The following is a 20,329-nucleotide window of genomic DNA, read 5'->3' as shown; positions in this document are numbered from 1 at the left end:
TATCAAGGCTCTTTTTTTCCCAATTAAAATGGTAAGGTGAATATTTTGCCTGTTTTATTAAATCTTCTTGGAAAATATGAGTTTGTAAGGCCTAATTTACATACAATTAAAGGCAAAACCTTACATGAAGTCTGAGCAGAAATTACATAGGTAAAGGGGATGCGTTTGACAAATGGGTGCGCCCATTTAAAACACACCTAATCAAGATATAGAACATTTCCATCCTCCCAGAATGTTCCTTTACATCCTGTCTAAATCAATCCTTGGACTTACCACAGAGGCAACCACTAATCTGACTTCTTTAGCTGTAGATAAATTTTACTTGTTCTAGAATTCCATATAAATTAACTCAAACAGTATATTCTCCTTTTTTTGTCTCTTTTTCTCTGCATAATATTTTAAGACATTCATGTTGTGTGTACCATAATTCATTCCTTTTTATTGCTAACATTTCATTACTTTATAATTAATGTATCCATTCACCTGTCGATGGGCTATTTTCCCTAATATCCAATATATTCATGCTCTGTAACTTATTTATTTATTTACTTATTTTGAGACAGAGTCTCATTCTGCCACCCAGGCTGGAGTGCAGTGGCATGATCTCGGTTCACTGCAACCTCCGCCTCCCAGGTTCAAGCGATCCTTTGGCCTCAGCCTCCCAAGTAGCTGGGACTACAGGTGTGCACTACCATGCCAGCTAATTTTTGTATTTTTAGTAGAAATGGGCTTTCACCATGTTGGCCAGGCTGGTCTTGAACTCCTCACCTCACGTGATCTGCCCACCTCGGCCTCCCAAATTGCTGGGATTACAGGCGTGAGCCACCATGCCCGGTCCTGTAACTTCTTTAAATGCTCCTTTTCTCACTTGGAAATTAGGTTGCTTCCAATGTTTCTTTTTCTTTTCTTTCTTTCTTTCTTTTTCTTTTCTTTTCTTTTTTTTTCTTTTTTTTTTTTTTTTTTTTGAGACAGGGCCCTGCTGTTACCCAGGCTGGAGTAGAGTGGCATGATCACAGCTTACTACAGCCTTGACTTCCCGGGCTCAAACAATCCTCCCACCGCAGTCTCCCAAGTAGCTGGGTCTACGGGTGTGCACCACTGTGCCCGGCTAATATTTTTATTTTTTGTAGAAATGGAGTCTCCCTATGTTGCCCAGGCTGGTCTTGAACTCCTGGGCTCAAGTGATCCTCCCAAAGCGCTGGGATTACAGTGGGGAGCCACTTTGCTAGGCCCAATTTTTCTTTATTACAAACAAAGCTTTGATAAACCTTCTTGCATCTACATTTTCATATGCACCTCTGATCATGTCAATGCTATAAATTCCTGAGAGCATAATAGCATTAAGAGGTATAAATGCTTTTGAGATTCAATTCATATTGCTGAATTGCTCTCTAGAAAGATTTTTCCAATTTACACTCCCACTAGCAATACAAGAAACTGGCCATTTCACTGTGCCACCAACAACTGGTGTTAATCAGTAACAACAATCTCCATTTTTTTTGATAGGTTATAATCTTAGTACATTTTAAATTACAATTATTTAAGTACTGTGAAGTTAAATATAATTTGTTTATTGATTATTAGAATTTCTTCTATCAATTATCTATTGGAGCATGGGATATTGGTACTTTTTCTATTTTATAAGAACTTAAATGGTTTTTGTAAAGTGGTTACAAGAGTGCCTAGCACATTATAAGCAGAATGTATTAGCTTTATTATTAACTCCCTTATATATTAAGCATTTTAATCTTTTATTTTTCTTGAGTTGCAAATATTTTTCTCAAAGTGTTTATCTTTTAATTTTATAACATTTTAAACACACATAATTTAAATTTTCATTTTAGTTGAAAGTAGCAGTCTTTTCTTAGTATATTATCCATTTATTTTATACTTACTCATTCATCACTCAGATCAGTTAAATATTCACCAACAATTTTGTAGAATTTAAATATCTTTTCATAAGTAGGCTGTTTTCCTGGATATATTTTTTAAACTTTTAATGGAAAATTTTAAACAGAAACAAAAATAGCAAATTCTCCCATTTCAATTCATGGCAAGTCTCAATCCACTTATACCCTGATCCCCTTTATCCCCCAAATTATTTGATGCAAAGCACAGGCATCATCTCATTTTTATCTGTAAATATTTCTGTAGGCATCTCTAAAAGGTGTATTTAAAATTATAACTGTTAACACCACTACTGCAGCCAGAAATAGTTAACAATAGTTTTTTAATATCGTTTAAAAAAACCTTAGTCAATGTTCAAATTTCTCTGATGGTCTTATTTTTTAAGTTTGTTCGAATCAAGATCCAGTAAGGACTATACATTACAACTGGTTGCTGTCTCTTCCATATAAACTATAGGTTTCCTCTCCCTTCCTAGTTTTTTCCCTTGCAATTTATTAATTGTAGAAACTGGGTCATTTGTCCTGGAGAATTTCCTACAGTCGGATTTTGCTGTGATTGCACCTTTAGGTGGTATTTGACATATTCTCCTGTTCCCTGTATTTGATGTAGATTGGTAGTTAGATCTGAAGGGTTGATCGGATTCAGGTACTGTTTTAACTTCCATCAGGTGGTATTTAATGCCTGGTTAGCTTTTTTGTGATCTTACCAGCTACAGATGGTCACTGCATAGATTCATTATGTCACAATGGCTTGCAAAATAGTGATATTCTAATTATTTTCTTCATTTATTAGCTGGAGTTCTACAAAGGGAAAGTTCCTCTTATCAACTGTTTGGTTACCCAGAAGTTCATTTCATATAGTAATGGCAGGATACACGCTTGATTTTGGTTTGTATCTGCCAATTTTCAAAATTATGAGTTGGTTGTTTTCAGATGACCATAACGTTTTCTTCTTTTTTGAATACCACTGTGAACTCATGCATTAAACATATATCAATACAATATGTGTCTATCTATTGTGGTTGTCATTCTTATTCATGCTCAAACTGTCCCATCTTTGGCTTGTGGGAAGCTCTTCTAGTTGACACATCTGCATGGTCTAACTTCCTTGCTTTCTGATATGACAAGATGTTCCTGTATATTTCCTGCTCAAGCTTCTTCACAAGTCTCATTTTGTATATTTTGTATGCAAGACATGGAATCAGCCATTTATCCAAGGAGTCATCGTTCCCTTTAATGGTTAATGATATTACAAGGGCACATCTAATTGCTAGGAGTGCTCTTGGCTATTGAGTTCCTGTTTCTAGGACTACTCAGGGAACCATATTAGAAAATCCTTTTTTAAAATTTGATTTTATTTAATATTTTAATTATACATTTTCATAGGGCAAATAATGATGTTTTGATACATATAATGTATAAAGGTCAGATCAGGGTAATTAGCATATCTATTACTGCAAACATTTATCATTTTTTTATGTTGGGAACATTCAAAATCCTCCTTCTAGCTACTTGAAAATATATACTATTGTTAACTATAGTAATCCCACAGGGGTATTGAACATTAGAACTTATTCTTCCCATCTAGCTGTAATTTTGTATCCTTTAATAAATCTCTCCCTACCTTTCCCTTCCCCCTGCCCTTTCCAGCCTCTTGTATCCTCTGTTCTACTTTTTACTTCTATGAGATTAACCTTTTTCTTTTTAGCTTCCGTATACAAATGAGAACATGCAGTGTTTAACTTTCTATTCCTCGCTTATTTCACTTAACATAATGATCATCCCTGTTGCCAAAAATGACAGGATTTCATTCTGTTTTATGGATGAATAATATTCCATTGTGTATATATGCCACATTTTCTTTATCTATTCATCTGTTGTTGGACACTTAAGTTGATTCCCTATGTTATCTATTGTGAACGATGCTGTCTCCATAGTGGCTGCACTGGTTTACATTCATACCCACAGTGTATTAGAGTTCGCTTTTCTCCACATCTTCACTAGAATTTGTTTTGTTTTTGTCTTTTTGATAATAGCCATACTTCCTGGGGTGAGATGTTACCTCACTGTGGTTTTGATACGCATTTCCCTGGTGATCAGTGATGTTGAGCATTTTTTTCATATACCTGTTGGCCATTTGTATGTCTTACTGAGAAATATCTGTTCAGATCATTTGCCTATTTTTTTTTCTTTTTTCTTTTTTTAAGAGATGGTGTCTGTGTCTGTCACCCAGGCTGCAGTGAAGTTGTGGCAGGCCAATTCTCCCTGACAATCACACAGACAGGCCTGCATGACAGTCACACAGACAGGTCTGCATAGCACTCCAGTTACACAGACAGATTTCCACAGCACTGCCTTGACATTGAGCAAATAGTTAAACCTAGGGAAATCAGTGCCCAGACATCAAAGCTAGAAATGAAACATGATCAGTAGTAGCCTTGCATGGGCTTCTGCCCAACCTGGAGCAAGCCAAAATAATAGAGACAGTCTTTGATTCCTAGCACCAGGACCCGTATCTGAGATGAGTCAAGGTAACAGAGGCAGCTGTTTGAACACATTCATTGGAGAGTCTAAGGCAGCTCTCTGGACCAAGCTGTAAAGGAGATAAGATAGAAATAATCACTCCGGTACCACAGTAGACAGGCCTTGAAGGTACTGGGGCCCTTTTAATCAGACTTAGCAAGCATTTTTGTCTCTGACCTTCTAGTTGAAACAAAATTAGTTACCAGTAGACTTAGGCCAATGCTATACTGCATGAAGGCACATAACCCCAACCTATATAAGCACTAAGAAAATTGCAACACTTTGAGTTGGTCTGGTGGAATTATCTCTGGCCTTCTCCTTGTATCTGGTTATAGCAATAAATTCCCTTCTTTCCTAGTTTGTCTGCTTCCTGTTATTGGGCCTCCAGAAAACACAGCTGGACCCAGCTTGGTTCCGGGAACAAAGTGGCATGATCACAGCACACTGTAAACTTCCCAAACTCCTGGACCCAGCTTGGTTCCGGGAACAAAGTGGCATGATCACAGCGCACTGTAAACTTCCCAAACTCCTGGACCCAAGCTATCTTCCCGCCTCAGCCTCCCGAGTAGCTGGGATTACAGGCATAAGACACCATACCCAGCTCATTAAAAAAAAAAATTTGTTTTTTGTAGAGATAGGGTCTTGCTATGTTGCCCATGCTGGTCTCATACTCCTTGCCTCAAGTGATCCTCTAGTCTTGGCCATTTTTAAATCAGATTGTTTGTTTATTTTTGCTTTTGTTGCCTGTGCTTTTAAGGTCCTATTCACAAAATCTTTTCCAGACCAATGTCCTGGAGTGTTTCCCCTATGTTTTCTTCTAGTAGTTTCATTGTTTGGGGTCTTAAATTTAGGTCTTTGATTCATTTCAAATTGATTTTTGCATAGGACGAGAGGTGGGGGTCTAGTTTCATTCTGCAAATAATTATCCAATTTTCCCAGCATGATTTTTTTTTTTTTTAATTTGAGACATGGTCTCACTCCATCTTCTAGGCTGGAGTGCAGTGGTGTGATCACAGTTCACTGGAGCCTCAACTTCCTGGACTCAAGGAATCCTCCCACCCAGCCTCCTGAGTAGTTGAGACCACAGGTGCGTGCCACCACACCAGGCTCATTTTAACAGTTTTTGTAGAGATGGGTCTCCCTGTGTTGCCCAGGGTGGTCTCGAACTCCTAGGCTCAAGTGATTTTCCCACCTCGGCCCCCCAAAGTGTTAGGATTACAGGTGTAAGTCACCGTGCCTGGCTCCAGCACCATTTATTAAAGAGACTATTATTTCCCCAGTGAATGTTCTTGGTGTTTTGTCAAAAATCAATTGATTATCGGTATGTGGATTAGTTTCTGAGTTCTCTATTCTGTCCTATTGGTCTAATGTGTCTGTTTTTAAGCCAATACCATGCAGCTTTGGCTATTACAGCTTGGTAGTATATTTGAGTGATACATCCAGCATTGTTCTTTTTGCTCAGAATTGCTTTGGCTATTCAGGGTCTTTCATGAATCCATACAAATTATAAAAAATGTTTTTTCTATTTCTGTGAAAAATGTCATTGGTATTTTGATAGGAATTGCATTCAATCTGTACATTGCTTTGGGTAAACTATAACTTTTTAAAGACAAAATTTATTATGTGTTCAAACCAGTACTTCCCATTCAAAATCAGAACATGGAGTTTTAATTTAGACTGTATAGTTATGTTCTTAGTGAGCCACCTAGTGTGAAGTGAGAAGGTAGCTTGGAATATCAATTTTCCCAACACGTTGTTGAGTAATTCATCCTTTTCCTGATTGACTTGCAGGACTCACTACATGACTACATAGTTTGCAGGGTCCAATACAAACTAAAAATTCAGGGCTCATTGTTCAAAACATCTAAAGAATTTTAAGATGGTGACAGCAGAGCCTTTAATCAGTATGTGGGCCCTTCTAAGAGCAGGGTCTTGTGTAACTGCACGTCACACATCTACGAAGCTGGCCATGTTGACTTGTGATAGCAAACATTTGTAACAGCAAATACTTGCTATGTGCCAGGCTCTGTTCTGAATGCTTTACCTGTCACTCAGGTGAGTACATTTATTATTTCCATTTTAGAGATGAAAAAATGGACTCACAGAGTGGTTAAACAACTTGCACAAGGTTACACAGATACTAGGTGGCAGAGCAGGGCTTGAACTCAGGTGGTTTGCTTCTTCATATTTTTACCTCTTCGCTCCTACGCCACACTGCTTTTAGGATAGTTTCTTAATCATACATTAGGTTCTGTTTGGAGGATATGCATTCTGTTCCACTGATCTGTTGATTCTTGCATTAGCCAGGCACTTTAAATTATTGGAACTTGATATGACTAAATATTGACAGGTTTGGCACTCATATTCTTCTTTTTCAGAATGTTCTTAATTATCTTGCCGGTTTATTCTTTCAGGTTAATTTTAGAATATTTTTCGTCAACTTATTAAAAAAGCAAAAACAAAAGGACCATTGGTATTTTAATTGGGATTACATTCAAATTATTGATTATTTTGGGGATGAATTGGCCTCTTCTCTTCCCATTTGTAACAAGTCTTTGTTTTTTTTTTTTTTTAATGGAGTCTCGCTCTGTCGCCCAGGGTGGAGTGCAGTGGGGCGATCTCGGCTCACTGCAACCTCCGTCTCCCGGGTTCAAGCGATTCTCCCGCCTCAGCCTCCCAAGCAGCTGGGATTACAGACACCTGCCACCATGTCTGGCTAATTTTTTTTTGTATTTTTAGTAGAGATGGAGTTTCACCATGTTGGCCAGCCTGGTCTCCAACTCTTGACCTCAGGTGGTCCACCCGCCTTGGCCTCCCAAAGTGCTGGGATTACAGCCATGGACCACTGCGCGTGGCCCACAAGTCTTTCTATTCATTTAGGTTTGTAAATTTCTCAGTTGAGTTTTATATTTTCTTCACAGAGAGTACACATTTTTTGTTAGGGGAATTAGTAGATATTTTATAATTGTAATTAATGTGAATGAATTTTTTTCTTTCAGGAATATAGCAGTGATTTCTGATGCATAAAGAAATTACTGACTTTTTAAAACTGGTAGCTACTAGATATTGGACACCTATTATGAGCCAGTGATTTATTATTTTATGAAAAAAAATAAGGCTTATAATGAAAAACAGCAGTCCTCTGTCCTAGTTCTTGCCACCCCTGATTACCTATCCTACAGGCCTCCACTTCCAATTCACTTACCTGTTTCTTCTGGTATTTATCTTACTGTTTTAAGCAATAATGTGCAATATACAATTACTTCTTAATTCTTTTCATATTCAGATAATTATTGACTTTCAACTATATAATCTGACAATGTAGCTCTCTTGCCTCATCCTCCTGAGTAGCTGGGACTACTGGCACATGCCACCATGTCTGGCTAATTTCTTTGTATTTCCTTGTTGCCCAGGCTGGTCTCAAGTCCTGAGCTCAGGCAATCCTAATTGGTCACCCAATTCTTTGATGGATTTCACCTGCTCATTCAGGTGATGTGTCTCAGTGAAGTCACACAAATGGGGGTCATTTTTGTCAGTGGCCAGTTTGTGCAGTTCCAGTAGTGACTGATTCACATTTTTTTTTTCCAAATGTAATGCCCACTCCATTGCATTCAGCCCACGTAGGAGGGGTAGAGCTCCAGGTTGATCTGGAGGTTGATGTTGGCCTCTGAGTCCTGGTGGTAGTTCTGGCGCACCTGTGAGGGGCATGTGGTAGTCATGGCGGTGGCGGTGGCTACACGGAGCTGGAGCGGCAGAGGCCTTGGGACGGTCCCAGGGCGCGGTGAGGAGGCAGCGGAGGGCTGGCTATGGGCAGCCAGCTGGGGTGGGGGGATGAGGGCTGGGTTCTGTCCAAGCACTGTTGAAGCAGGAAACCTTGGGGACCCACGGTGAAGAAAGTCTGGCCTACATTTATTTTGTATCCTGAAACTTCACTAGAGTCGTTATCGTTTCGAGGAGATGTTTGGCAGAATCTTCAAGGTTTTCTAGTATAGACTCATATTGTCAGCAAAGAGAGATAGCTTGACTTCTTTTCCTATTTGGATGCCTTTTATTTCTTTCTCTTGCTTCATTGTTCTGGCTACCAATTCTAGTACTAGGTTGAATAGGAGTGATGACAGTGGTCATCCTTGTCTTGTCCCAGTTCTCGAGAGCAATGCTTCTGGTTTTACCTGCTCAGTATTATGTTGGCTGTGGGTTTGTCATAGGTGGCTCATTATTTTTAGGTGTGTTCCTTTGATGCCTATTTTCTTGAGGGTTTTTATCAAGAAAGGATGTTGGATTTTATTTAAAGCTTTTTCCACATCTATTGAGATGATCATGAAGTTTTTGTCTTTAATTTTGTTTATGTGGTAAATCACATTTATTGATTTGTGTATGTTGAACCAACCTTATATTCAGGAATGATGCCTACTTGATAGTGGTGAATTAACTTTTTGATGTGCTGTTTGATTTGAATTGCTAGTATTTTGTTGAGGATTTTTGCATCTATGTTCATCAGGGATATTGGCCTGTAGTTTTCTTTTTTCATTGTGTCTTTGCAAAGTTTTGGTATCAGAGTGATGCTGGCTTTGTGGAATGAGCTGGAGAGGAGTCCTTCCCTCCTCAATTTTTTGGAATAGTTTCAGTAGAATTGGTAGCAGCTCTTTGCATGTCTGGTAGAATTTGTCTATGAATCCATCTGGTCTGGGTTTTTTTTGATTGGTAGTTTTTGTTGTTGTTGTTGTTGTTGTTGTTGTTGCTGTTTGTTTTTGAGACAGGGTCTCACTCTGTCACCCAGGCTATAGTGCAGTGGTGCAATCACAGCACATTGCAGCCTCCATCTCTCGGGCTCAAGCAATCCTCCTGCTTCAGACTCCTGAGTAGCTGGGACCACTGGCATGTGTCACAACACTTGGCTAATTCTTTTTATTTTTAATAGAGATAAGGTCTTGTGTTGTTGCCCCAGCTGATCTCGAACTCTGAGATCAAGCAATCCTCCTGCCTTGGCCTTTCAAAGTGGTGAGATTACAGGCATGAGCCACTGTGCCCAGCAGATTTTTTATTATTGGTCCAATTTTAGAACTCGATATTAGTCTGTTTAGGGTTTCAATTTCTTTCTGGTTCAACCTTAGGAGAGTGTGTGTTTCTAAGAATGCATGCATTTCCTCTAGATTTTCTAGTTTGTATGTGTAGAGGTGTTCATAATAGTCTCTGAGGATCTTTTGTATTTCTGTGGCGTCAGTTGTAATGTAACATTTGTTGTTTCTGATTGTGCTTGTTTGGATTTTCTCTGTTTTTTTCTTTGTTAATTTTGCTAGCAGTCTGTCAATCTTGTTTATCCTTTCAAAGAACAAACTTTTAGTTTCATTGATTCTTTGTATGGATTCTTGGGTCTCAATTTTGTTTAGTTCTTTGATTTTAGTGATTTCTTTTCTTCTGCTAGCTTTGGGGTTTGTTTTTCTTGATTTTCTAGTTTCTCTAGGTGTAATGTTAGATCATTGAGGTATTTCTAACTTTTTGAGGTAAATGTTTAGTACTATAAACTTTTCTCTTAACACTAGTTTTGCTGTATCCCAGAAATTTTGGTATGTTATATTTCTATATTCATTAATTTCAAAGAAGTTTTAAAACTTCTGCCTTAATCTCATTGTTTACTCAGTCATTCAGGAGCAAGTTGTTTAATTTTCATGTAATTGTGTGGTTTTGAGAGATCTTCTTGATATTGATTACTAGTTTTATTTCACTGTGGTCTGAGAGTATGGTTCATATAATTTCAATTTTTTTGAATTTATTGAGATTTGCTCTGTGGCCAGGCATGTGTTCAATCTTGCAATATTTTCCATGAGCAGATGAGAAGAATGTATATTCTGTGGTTGATGGGTGGAATATTCTGTAGATGTCTCTTAGGTCCATTTTGTCAAATGTCCAATTTAATTCCAGAATTCCTGTGTTAGTTTTCTGCATGGATGATCTGCCTAATGTTGTCAGTGGGGTGTTCTCAAGTCCCCCACTATTATTGTATGGCTGTCTAAGTCTTCTTATAGGTCTAGAAGTACTTGTTTTATTTATCTGTGTGCTCCAATGCTGGGTGCATATATATTTAGGATAGTTAAGTCTTCTTATTTAATTGAACCTTTTATCATTATGTAATGCTCCACTTTGCCCTTTCTTTTTCTATTGTTGGCTTAAAGTCTGTTTTATCTGATATAAGAATCACGACCCCTGCTCTTCTTTATTTTTGATTTGTGATACTTCTCTAGCCCTTTACTTTGAGCCTATGGGTGTCATTACATATGAGGTCTACTTGCTTTTTTAAATCCAACATGCCACTCTGTGCCTTTTAAGTGGGGCATTTAGACCATTAACATTCAAAGTTAATACTGATATATGAAGTTTTGATCCTATTGTAAAGTTGTTAACTGCCTGCTTTGTAGTTTCTATCATGTGGTTATTTTACAGTATCTGTGGGCAACGTACTTAAGTGTGTTTTTGTGGTAGTAGGTTTCATTATTTTGTTTACATGTTTAGAACTCCCTTAAGAATCTCTTGTAAGGCTGGTCTAGTATTAACTCATTCTCTTAGCACTTGCTTATCTGGAAAATATTTTGTTTCTCCTTCACCGATGAAGCTTAGTTTCTCAGGATATGTACCTCTTGGTTGGAACTTCTTGTTTTAAGAATGCTGAAAATAGGCCCCTAACCTCTCCTGCCTTGCAAGTTTTCTGTTGAGAAGTCCACCATTCACCTGATGGGGTTCCCTGTGAATGTGATCTGACATTTTTCTCTAGTGGCTTTTAAGATTTTTTTTCTTGCCAGGTTCAGTGGCTCATGCCTGTAATCCCAGCACTTTGAGAACCCAAGGTAGTGGATCACTTGAGCCCAGGAGTTCAAGATCAGCCTGGACAACATGGCAAAACCCCATCTTTTCAAAAAATAGAAAAATTGGCCAGGCATTGTGGTGCATGCTTGTAGTCTCGGTTACTTGGGAGAGTGAGGTGGAAGGATCACCTAAGCTTGGGAGGTAGGGGTTGCAGTGAGCAGTGATGGCATCACTACACTCCAACCTGGGCAACAGAGCAAGACCCTGAGACCCTGTCTCCAAAAAAAAAAAAAAAAAGACTTTTTCTTTAGCATTGACCCTGGAGGGTCTGGTGACTCTATGTCTTGGTGATGTTCATTTTGTATAGGATGTAGCAGGTGTTCTCTGGATTTCTTTTTCTTTTTCATGTGGGTATGATTTTTTTCTTTTTTTTTCCTTTCCCTAAAATGTTTTTTCTTTTTCTTTCCTTTTTCTCCCTCCCTAGGGAGTGTGGCTATAGTGAATACTGGGTAGGGTCTTTTGGCTTCATTTCTATAGGTCTATGCACTTCTTTTTTTTTTTTTTTTTTCAGAGGAAGTGTTTAATATTGGTTGAATGCCCAAGAATCCAGCTTACATGGGAGGAACAAAGGGAGTGTGGGTTAATCATCATAATCCCAAAACTAGCACAGAAAGTGGGTATGGCCTCAGACATCACCCAAGGTGCTGAAAGGAATCGCCTCCCAGCCACAACACACCTGCTCTTTCCTCTCCAAACCACTAATGCCCATCCCAACTCCAGATTTTGGAAAGGGTCAACTCCTACTTTTTTTTTTTTTTTCATTATCTCATATTTTGGATTCTTGTTATTTATGGTTTTTTTTTTTTGTTTGTTTTTTTAGTATTTATTGATCATTCTTGGGTGTTTCTCGGAGAGGGGGATGTGGCAGGGTCATAGGATAATAGTGGAGAGAAGGTCAGCAGATAAACACGAGAACAAAGGTCTCTGGTTTTCCTAGGCCTTCCGCAGTGTTTGTGTCCCTGGGTACTTGAGATTAGGGAGTGGTGATGACTCTTAATGAGCATGCTGCCTTCAAGCATCTGTTTAACAAAGCACATCTTGCACCACCCTTAACCCATTTAACCCTGAGTTAACACAGCACATGTTTCAGAGAGCACGGGGTTGGGGGTAAGGTTATAGATTAACAGCATCCCAAGGCAGAATTTTTCTTAGTACAGAACAAAATGGAGTCTCTTATGTCTACTTCTTTCTACACAGACACAGTAACAATCTGATCTCTCTTTGTTTTCCCCACATTTCCCCCTTTTCTTTTCGACAAAACCGCCATCATCATCATGGCCCGTTCTCGATGGTCGCTGTCTCTTTGGAGCTGTTGGGTACACCTCCCAGACGGGGCGGCCGGGCAGAGGCACTCCTCACTTCCCAGATGGGGCAGCAGGGCAGAGGCGCTCCTCACATCCCAGACGATGGGTGGCCAGGCAGAGGCGCTCCTCACCTCCCAGACGGGGCAGCCAGGCAGAGGGGCTCGCTTCCTAGACGGGGCGGCTGGGCAGAGGCGCTCCTCACATCCCAGACAATGGGCGGCCAGGTCTATGCACTTCTGTTGGCAGGTTTTATATCGGGCCATGCAGTTTGACCTACAGACTAGTACATGGCACTTATAGGTAAGAGCTGGCTGCAACCAAAGTGGCTGGGTATAGACTTGATCCTTGTTTTACTGAGAGAAGTTCTCTGTGGTCTCAGTCAATGGGCTGATTGGTGGAGTACACAGTGGTCTGTGCTCTCTGCTTAGCTGCAGGGGAAGGAGGGACCAAAATGGGCAGGGCTGGATGGACAGGTCCACCTTCAGGTCTCCTGATAGCAGGCACAAGCATCAGCACTGATGGGGAATCCAGTGGGTGGCCACCAAGCGCCCAGAGGTGTGCCTAGTTGTGGAGCTGGGAAATCTCCTTGGCCCCAAGCTCTTTGCACAGGCATGAGGAACGTGGCCTAAACTAATCCAGGAAAGTGAGTGCAATAGATGCTTGGAGATCTGCTTGAATGTGGAGCAGTGAGGATCCCCCTGCACCTGGTTCTCTGCACAAGAAGGGTGGGGCAGCTCAGGCTGCTGAACCAGCTGAGCAAGTGCTCCAAATGCCTGGAGATCTGCCTGGGCATGAAGCAGAGATGGCCTCCATGCCATCACTGTACAGAATCTCCATGAATCTCTGTACAGAAAGGGTGGGGTGAATCAAGCTCCTGATCCACATGAGCAAGTGCTCTGAATACCTGGAGATCTGCCTGGGCATGGAGTGGAGAGAGTCCCACTGCACCAAGATTTATGCCCAAGAAGGGTGGGGAGCAACTCAGGCTGCTGAACCAGGTGAGTGGGTGCTCCTAATGCCTGGACACCTGCCTGGGTCCTGTGAGTGAAGCAGAGAGGAAACTGCTGCACCATGGCTTCAGCAGAGTGGGCTGATGAACCCAGCAATTTTCTCGCCCATTTTTAAACAGAATTATTTGATTTTTTGCTATTGGGTTGTTTGAGTTCCCTATATTTTCTGGATATTAACCCCATGTCAGATGCAGAGTTTGCAAACATTTTCTCCATTTCAGAGGTTGTCTCTTCACTCTGTTGATTGTTTCCTTTGTTGTGTAGAAGCTTTTTGGTTTGATGTGATTCTATTTGCCTTTTTCTTTCTTTCCTTCTTTTTTTTTTTTGCTTTTGTTGCCTATGCTCTTGGGGTCTTATTAAAAAAAAATCCTTTCCCAGACCAATGTCATGAAGCATTTCCCAATGTTTTCTTCTAGAAGTTCCATAGTTTCTGGTCTTAATCCATTTTCAGTTGATTTTTTTGGAGTCTAAAAACATTGATTTTTCATTCTTTACTAAAATCTCATTACTTACAAGAGTCAAGTTTTTGGCTGATGCTTTGTTTTTCCTAGGTGTACACATGATAAATACTGACAATTTAATACCTTTCTATACAACAGATATATCACTTATTTTCTTTCACATCCTATTGTGCTGGTCAGTTGTAGTGCACAAGATATGTATTAAATACTTAACACACACACACATAGCACACACACGTTTGCCATCCTGAATTTCTAGAATAGCATATTCATTCTGCCATTTTTCTTAGTTAGCAGGCTTTACAAACACAGAAACAGCCCTGATTCTTAAAGAGTTAGGAACATTATTGCAAACAAAGTAAATAATCAGCATATAGTCTTCCCTTAGACCCCTTTCTTAATAGTATTATACAAGAGATTTCAACTTTCTGTTATCTTCCTAGTTCCCAACTGCAGCTTTACAAGAAGGCCTGCTATAAACATGCCGTTAACATTGTAAACCACTCCCTCTCCCTCAAAACGTAATCTTTTTTTGCAGCCTCTATTTTTTCCATAGCACCTTTCACCATTCAACATATTATATAATTTAGTGAATTATCTTTTGTATGTTTTTTAACTATCCAGATGCCTCTTGCCGCCCCCCACCCCCACACACACGCTCCGTGAAAGCAGGAATCTTTGTTTTGTTCATTGAGTTTTCTCGGTATTTAGAATAGTCCCTTTCACATAGTAGGGACTTTATAAATATTTACTAAATGAATAAATGGGCCAGGCGCGGTAGCTCATGCCTGTAATCCCAGCACTTTTGGAGGCCGAGGTGGGTGGATCACGAGGTCAGGAGATCAAGACCATCCTGGCTAATGCGTGAAACCTCGTCTCTACTAAAAATACAAAAAATTAGCCAGGCGTGGTGGCAGGCACCTGTAGTCCCAGCTACTCAGGAGGCTGAGGCAGGAGAATGGCGTGAACCTGGGAGGCGGAGCTTGCAGTGAGCCGAGATTGCGCCACTGCACTGCAGTCTGGGCGACAGAGTGAGATTCCGTCTCAAAAAATAAATAAATAAAATGAATAAATGCAGAAATGAACACTGCAGTGGCAGTAGGCAGTTCCTGACTTCTGTTGCCAGAAGTCTAGTCAATTGCCAACTTTACTACTTCGTTTCTAGGGTTAAATTCTAGTGTGTGTGTATGTGGTGGGGAGATGGGGAGATGGACAATATTAAATACATAATAGATTACACAGAGTTGCAAGTGCCAAAAAGGAAACAAAACAGGGGAGGAGAATAAAAACTGGGAGAAGAAAGGTTGAAATTTTAGATGGGAGGAAGGTCACGGAAAAGATGAATTAGCAGTGAAGATCTGAAAGAAATGGGGGTTCAAGGCATATGGATAACTGGAAGAAGAACATTCTAGGCAGAGGTGATGGAAAGCACAAAGACACTAAAGACAAGATCATGCCTGATGTCTTCGGAGGGAAAGTAAGTGGTCCAGTGTGTCTGGATCACAGAGAAGGAGAGGATGAAGAGTAGAAAAGAAGGCAAGAGAAGTAAGTGGAGGGGAGGTGGCCAGATCATGTAAGGAGCCAAAGATCATAAAAAGACTTTAGTTTTTATACTGAGTGAGGTACAAATCCACTGGAGAGTTTTAAGCACAGGAGGACAGGAACTGATTAACATTTAACAGAATCATTCTCACTGCTGGGTTGAGAATAGACCTCATAGGAACAAGAACAGAAGTAGGGATGCAAGTTACAATGCCACCTTAATTATATAGATGAGAGGTAATGGTGGCTAGGACCAGAGTAGCAGCAGTAGGAGTGGTAAAAGGGATTGAGTTTCAGAAATATTTTGAAGGCAAAGCTAGTGGGATTTGCTAATGGACTGAGTGTGGGGTGTAAAATAAATACAGAAATAGAAGATAACATGAAGATAACATCATAGTTTCTGGTTTAAGGAACTTGAACAATGAAGTTAACATTAGCTAAGATGAGGAAGAAAGAAACAGGTTGAAGGAGGTGAGGAATGTGGTTTGAAACATGTTAGCCTATCAGTCATGTTAAGCATGCAGTTAGACAATGAGTTAGAGAGGCCCAGGCAGGAAATAGAACTCTGACAATCATAGCTCATTGATTTTTGTGTGTTTTTTTTTGTTTTTGTTTTTGTTTGTTTGTTTTTGACAGAGTCTCGCTATGTCACTCAGGCTGGAGTGCAGTGGTGTAATCTCAGCTCACTGCCACCTCAACCTCCTGGGTTCAAGCAATTCTCGTGCCTCAGCCTCCCGGGTAGCTGGGACCATAGGCACGCAACACCATGCCTGGCTAATTTTTGTATTTTGAGTAGAGATGGAGTTTTGTCACGTTGCCCAGGTTGGTCTCAAACTCCTGGTCTCAAGTGATCCACCCGCTTTGGCCTCCCAAAGAGCTGGATTACAGGTGTGAGCCACTGTGCCCAGCCTCATTGATGGATATTTACACCATATTATTGGAGACGGTCATCTAGAGAATGAATGCAGATAGAAAAGAAAAAAGTCCTAGTACTGAGCCAGGGGACTCATAAAATATTTAGAGGATGAGACAATGAATCAGCTAAATGGAATAAGATGGAAAGACCAGCAATATAGGAGGAAGGCTGGTGATTTTGGTATCCTGGAAAGCAGCAAAGGACCTTTTTCAAGGATGGAGAGTTGTCCAAATGTGTCAAAATGCTGGTAACAGGGCACTTAAGATGACAAGTGATAAATGACTATTGTGGTTAGCAATGCAGAATATCATGATTGAACTGTGTCCCCCAAAAAGATGTGTCGGAAGACTAACCCCTATTACCTCAGAATGTGACCTTATTTGGACATAGGGTTTTTACAGATGTAATCGAGTTGAAATGAGGTCATTAGGGTGGGCCCTAATATAATGCGACTGGTGTTCTTATAAAAAGGGAGAGGTTTAGACACAGAGAGAGAAGCACACAAGAACATCCTGTGAAGATTGGGGTTATGCTGACTTATCCAAGGAACAATCAGAAGCTAGGAGAGAAACCTGAACAGATTATTCCTAGCACCTGCAGGGGGAGTATGGCCCTGCTGACACCTTGATTTTGTAATTCCAAACTCCAGACAGGTGACAGAATAAATTTCTGTGGTTTAAGCCACCTAGTTTGTGGTACTTTGTCACTGCAGCCCTAGCTAGCTAATACATGGAGATGACTGATGATCATGAGATGAGAAATTACAATGAAATTAAAGGATCTAATTGGAGTGGGATCCAGAAAGAATAACAGGGAGGAAACTGAATAGAGTGTGTATAGTCAAGAGTTTTGAGGAGTTTTTCCATAAGAGGAAGGAGAAAAATAGAAGGTAGAGAAGCAAATGGTCTGAAAGTGAGGTTTTTGTTTTTTTTTTTTTAAATGGGAGAAATAATAGTATGTTTGATACTAATGGGAATGATTCATTAGAGAAGGAAAACTTGATCTTGCAGGAGACAGGGCAGAATCTCTGGAGCAATATACTGATTACAAAAAAGGGGATGGGATCTGGTGCACTGAAGGAGATTGAGACTCACAAGGATAGGTTATTCATAAATAATAGGAAGTAAAGGGGGCACAGAAGCACAGGTGCAGGGAGATGGCAGTGGCTTCCTATCCTTCCACCTCTCAGAGAAGTAAGAAGTAAAGCCATCAACTGAGAATTAAGAAGACTTGGAATTGGCAGAAAGAGAAGAAAATGAAATGGCAATTTGGAGCGTGGGAGAGAGAAGAAACTGGTCATAGTAAGTGATTATTTTTATATGCTATTGAAGCTGATTGGCACTCTTTATTTAAAATTTTCTCTTCTATATTTATAATGAAATTTAGCCTACAGTTTTTTGGGGGATGGATTATGTGTCAGGTGTCAATAAAAATGTATAATAACAATAATAACTACCATTACTGAGTTCTTCTTTTGTGCCAGGTACTAGGTAAAGCATTTCTACTAATTAGCTCATTGAATTCTCATAGCAACAAGGAAATCATATATTGCCTTCCTCTGCTTTTTGGATGAGGAAACCTTAGTGGGGGATAAGGGCACAGTGAAATAATATGGCCAAAGTTTTACAGCAAAGTCGGGCTTCACACCAAGGTCTACAGCTCCAAGATTAATGCCTTTTTTTTTTTTTTTTTTTTTTTTTTTGAGATGGAGTCTCGCTCTGTCGCCCAGGCTGGAGTGCAGGGGCACGATCTCGGCTCACTGCAAGCTCCGCCTCCCAGGTTCATGCCATTCTCCTGCCTCAGCCTTCCAGTAGCTGGGACTACAGGTGCCCGCCACCACGCCTGGCTAATTTTTTCTATTTTTAGTAGAGACGGGGTTTCACAGTGTTAGCCAGGATGGTCTTGATCTCCTGACCTCTTGATCCACCCACCTCGGCCTCCCAAAGTGCTGGAATTACAGGCGTGAGCCACTGCGCCCGGCCAAGATTAATGCTTTTAACTAGCAATTCATGCTAATTTTATAAACTAGCTTTTCATCCTATGCTAAGTTCTGGAAGAGATTATATAAAAATGGGTATTATGTATTCTTTGGAAATCACAAAAAACTAGTCAAAAGAAAACATCAGTTTTAAAAACATAATATGTAAAATGAAGAAATAAGGCCAGGTACGGTGGCTCACACCTGTAATCCCAGCACTTTGGGAGGCCAAAGCAGGAGGATGGCTTGAGGCCAGGAGTTCAAAACCAGCCTGGGTAACACAGTGTGACCCCCATCTCTATGAAAAATTTAAAAAATTAGTCGGGTGTGGTGGTGCATGCCAAAAGTCCTAGCTACTCAGGAGGCTGAGGCAGGAGGGTTGCTTAGGCTTAGGAGTTTGAGGTTGCAGTAAGCTATGATCTCACCACTGCACTCCATCCTGGGCAACAGAGCAAGACCCTGTTTCTACAAAACAAACAAATAAAAAAATGAAGTGAAGAAATAAAGAGGTAATGCCTTGTCAATTGAATAACATCTTTCTACTTACATGTGGCTATTTCTACTTAAAAGTATGAAGCCTTTAATTTAACAAATATTCTTAGGAAAGGATGTGAATCATTACTCTCAACCTCATTCATCACTGTGTTCTATCTGTCTCTTATTACTATTCTGTCTCCAAATGCATTGTGAACCCCTCTATTTTCATAAGCCATTGTTCTAGGGTAGGTTGCTACCATGTGAGACTGGACAATTGTATGGCCTTTCTGGTGGTTCTGCCTCACTTTCTTGTACCACTTGTACTCATTCTGTACACAGCAACTGGAAGGACTTATTTTCAAAATGTTCTGTGTATTTACTGTTTTACAACTGAGTGCTGCCAACATAGTATCCTTATTATAAAATATTCAGCTGTATAAAAAATATATAGTGCTTAACTACAAATGGAAAGCATAATTTTTGAAAAAATAAACACATGAACATCACATAGGATCCTACAAAAAGGCATTAAGCCAAGTAGTTTTTAATTTGCTTATGCTGTCTTTCTCCTTTTTTCATTTTTTTTCCAGCCACTGGAGTATTTTGTGATGATCTTTCTTCTTTATATGTTTCCAGTGGAATGCTATTATTTTTATTATTTTCCCAAGACACTCTTCCCAACAGAAAAAAATGAAAATGTACTATATGGACTCTAATTCCAGTGATTTCATGAAGAATCACAATAAGCTCCATTTTCTAGAGATTTCCCTAGCAGACAGGGGTGACCTAAGTACATCATGAGTAACTTATCATATTTGCTCTGTCTTAATAATCTTTTGTCTCTAGGGCTTAGCACTGTGAGTCGTGTATATTAAATGCTCAATAAATAATCTCTTAAAAACTATTAAATGAATATAATATTTAGTATTTTGTAGGAGAATCTAAAAATTTTCAAGCCATAAGCTAGATCCTTCAATAGAGTGCTTTTGTATTTAAATTATATAATCAGTGATTTTTTCTAAAACTGTGATTTTTTGAGCTCCCAGAGGTGTGGATTTTCTTCTTCATTCTTGACAGCTAATTTGCAATACTTTCCACTGATCATATACTTTCCCTTTTATCTAAAATGTCAATTTTCTCAAAGTTTACCTTGAAGCATGACCAAAGACTGTCGAAGTCGGCTGTTTTCTTTCCGGGTGTTTGTTAGTTTTTCTTTCAGGCTTTTTATTTTGGCGCACAATTCTTCCTTTGACAATTCTGCTAAAGGCTCTTCATCCTCACTGGAGCTTTCACCAGGCAGAAAGGCATTTCCCGAATATGGGTCTCTCTAAAATAGAAGGCAGGCACAATAAA

At 39.7% G+C, this 20,329-nt stretch overlaps 1 protein-coding gene and 1 pseudogene across 9 annotated transcripts in view; both read right to left on the bottom strand.

Moving 5' to 3' along the window:
• Nucleotides 1–20,329, bottom strand: part of BEND6 (BEN domain containing 6) — a 72,240-nt gene that overhangs the window by 14,666 nt on the left and 37,245 nt on the right. For 7 of the 9 annotated variants that reach the window (NM_152731.3, XM_017010406.2, XM_047418320.1 and 4 more), the window contains exon 3: nt 20,126–20,303. In NM_152731.3, the coding sequence (NP_689944.2) occupies nt 20,126–20,303 (178 nt within the window). Of the gene's footprint in view, nt 1–1,732; nt 4,501–20,125; nt 20,304–20,329 lie in introns of those variants that run through there. The other 2 variants (NM_001318539.2, XM_047418324.1) reach the window with 1 other exon arrangement.
• On the bottom strand, nt 7,879–8,333 carry FTH1P15 (ferritin heavy chain 1 pseudogene 15; annotated as a pseudogene).

The sequence above is a fragment of the Homo sapiens genome, chromosome 6 (genome assembly GCF_000001405.40).
Source record: "Homo sapiens chromosome 6, GRCh38.p14 Primary Assembly".
In the NCBI taxonomy this organism is placed as follows: Eukaryota; Metazoa; Chordata; class Mammalia; order Primates; family Hominidae; genus Homo; species Homo sapiens.
This window is presented reverse-complemented; position numbering and strand designations above follow the sequence as displayed.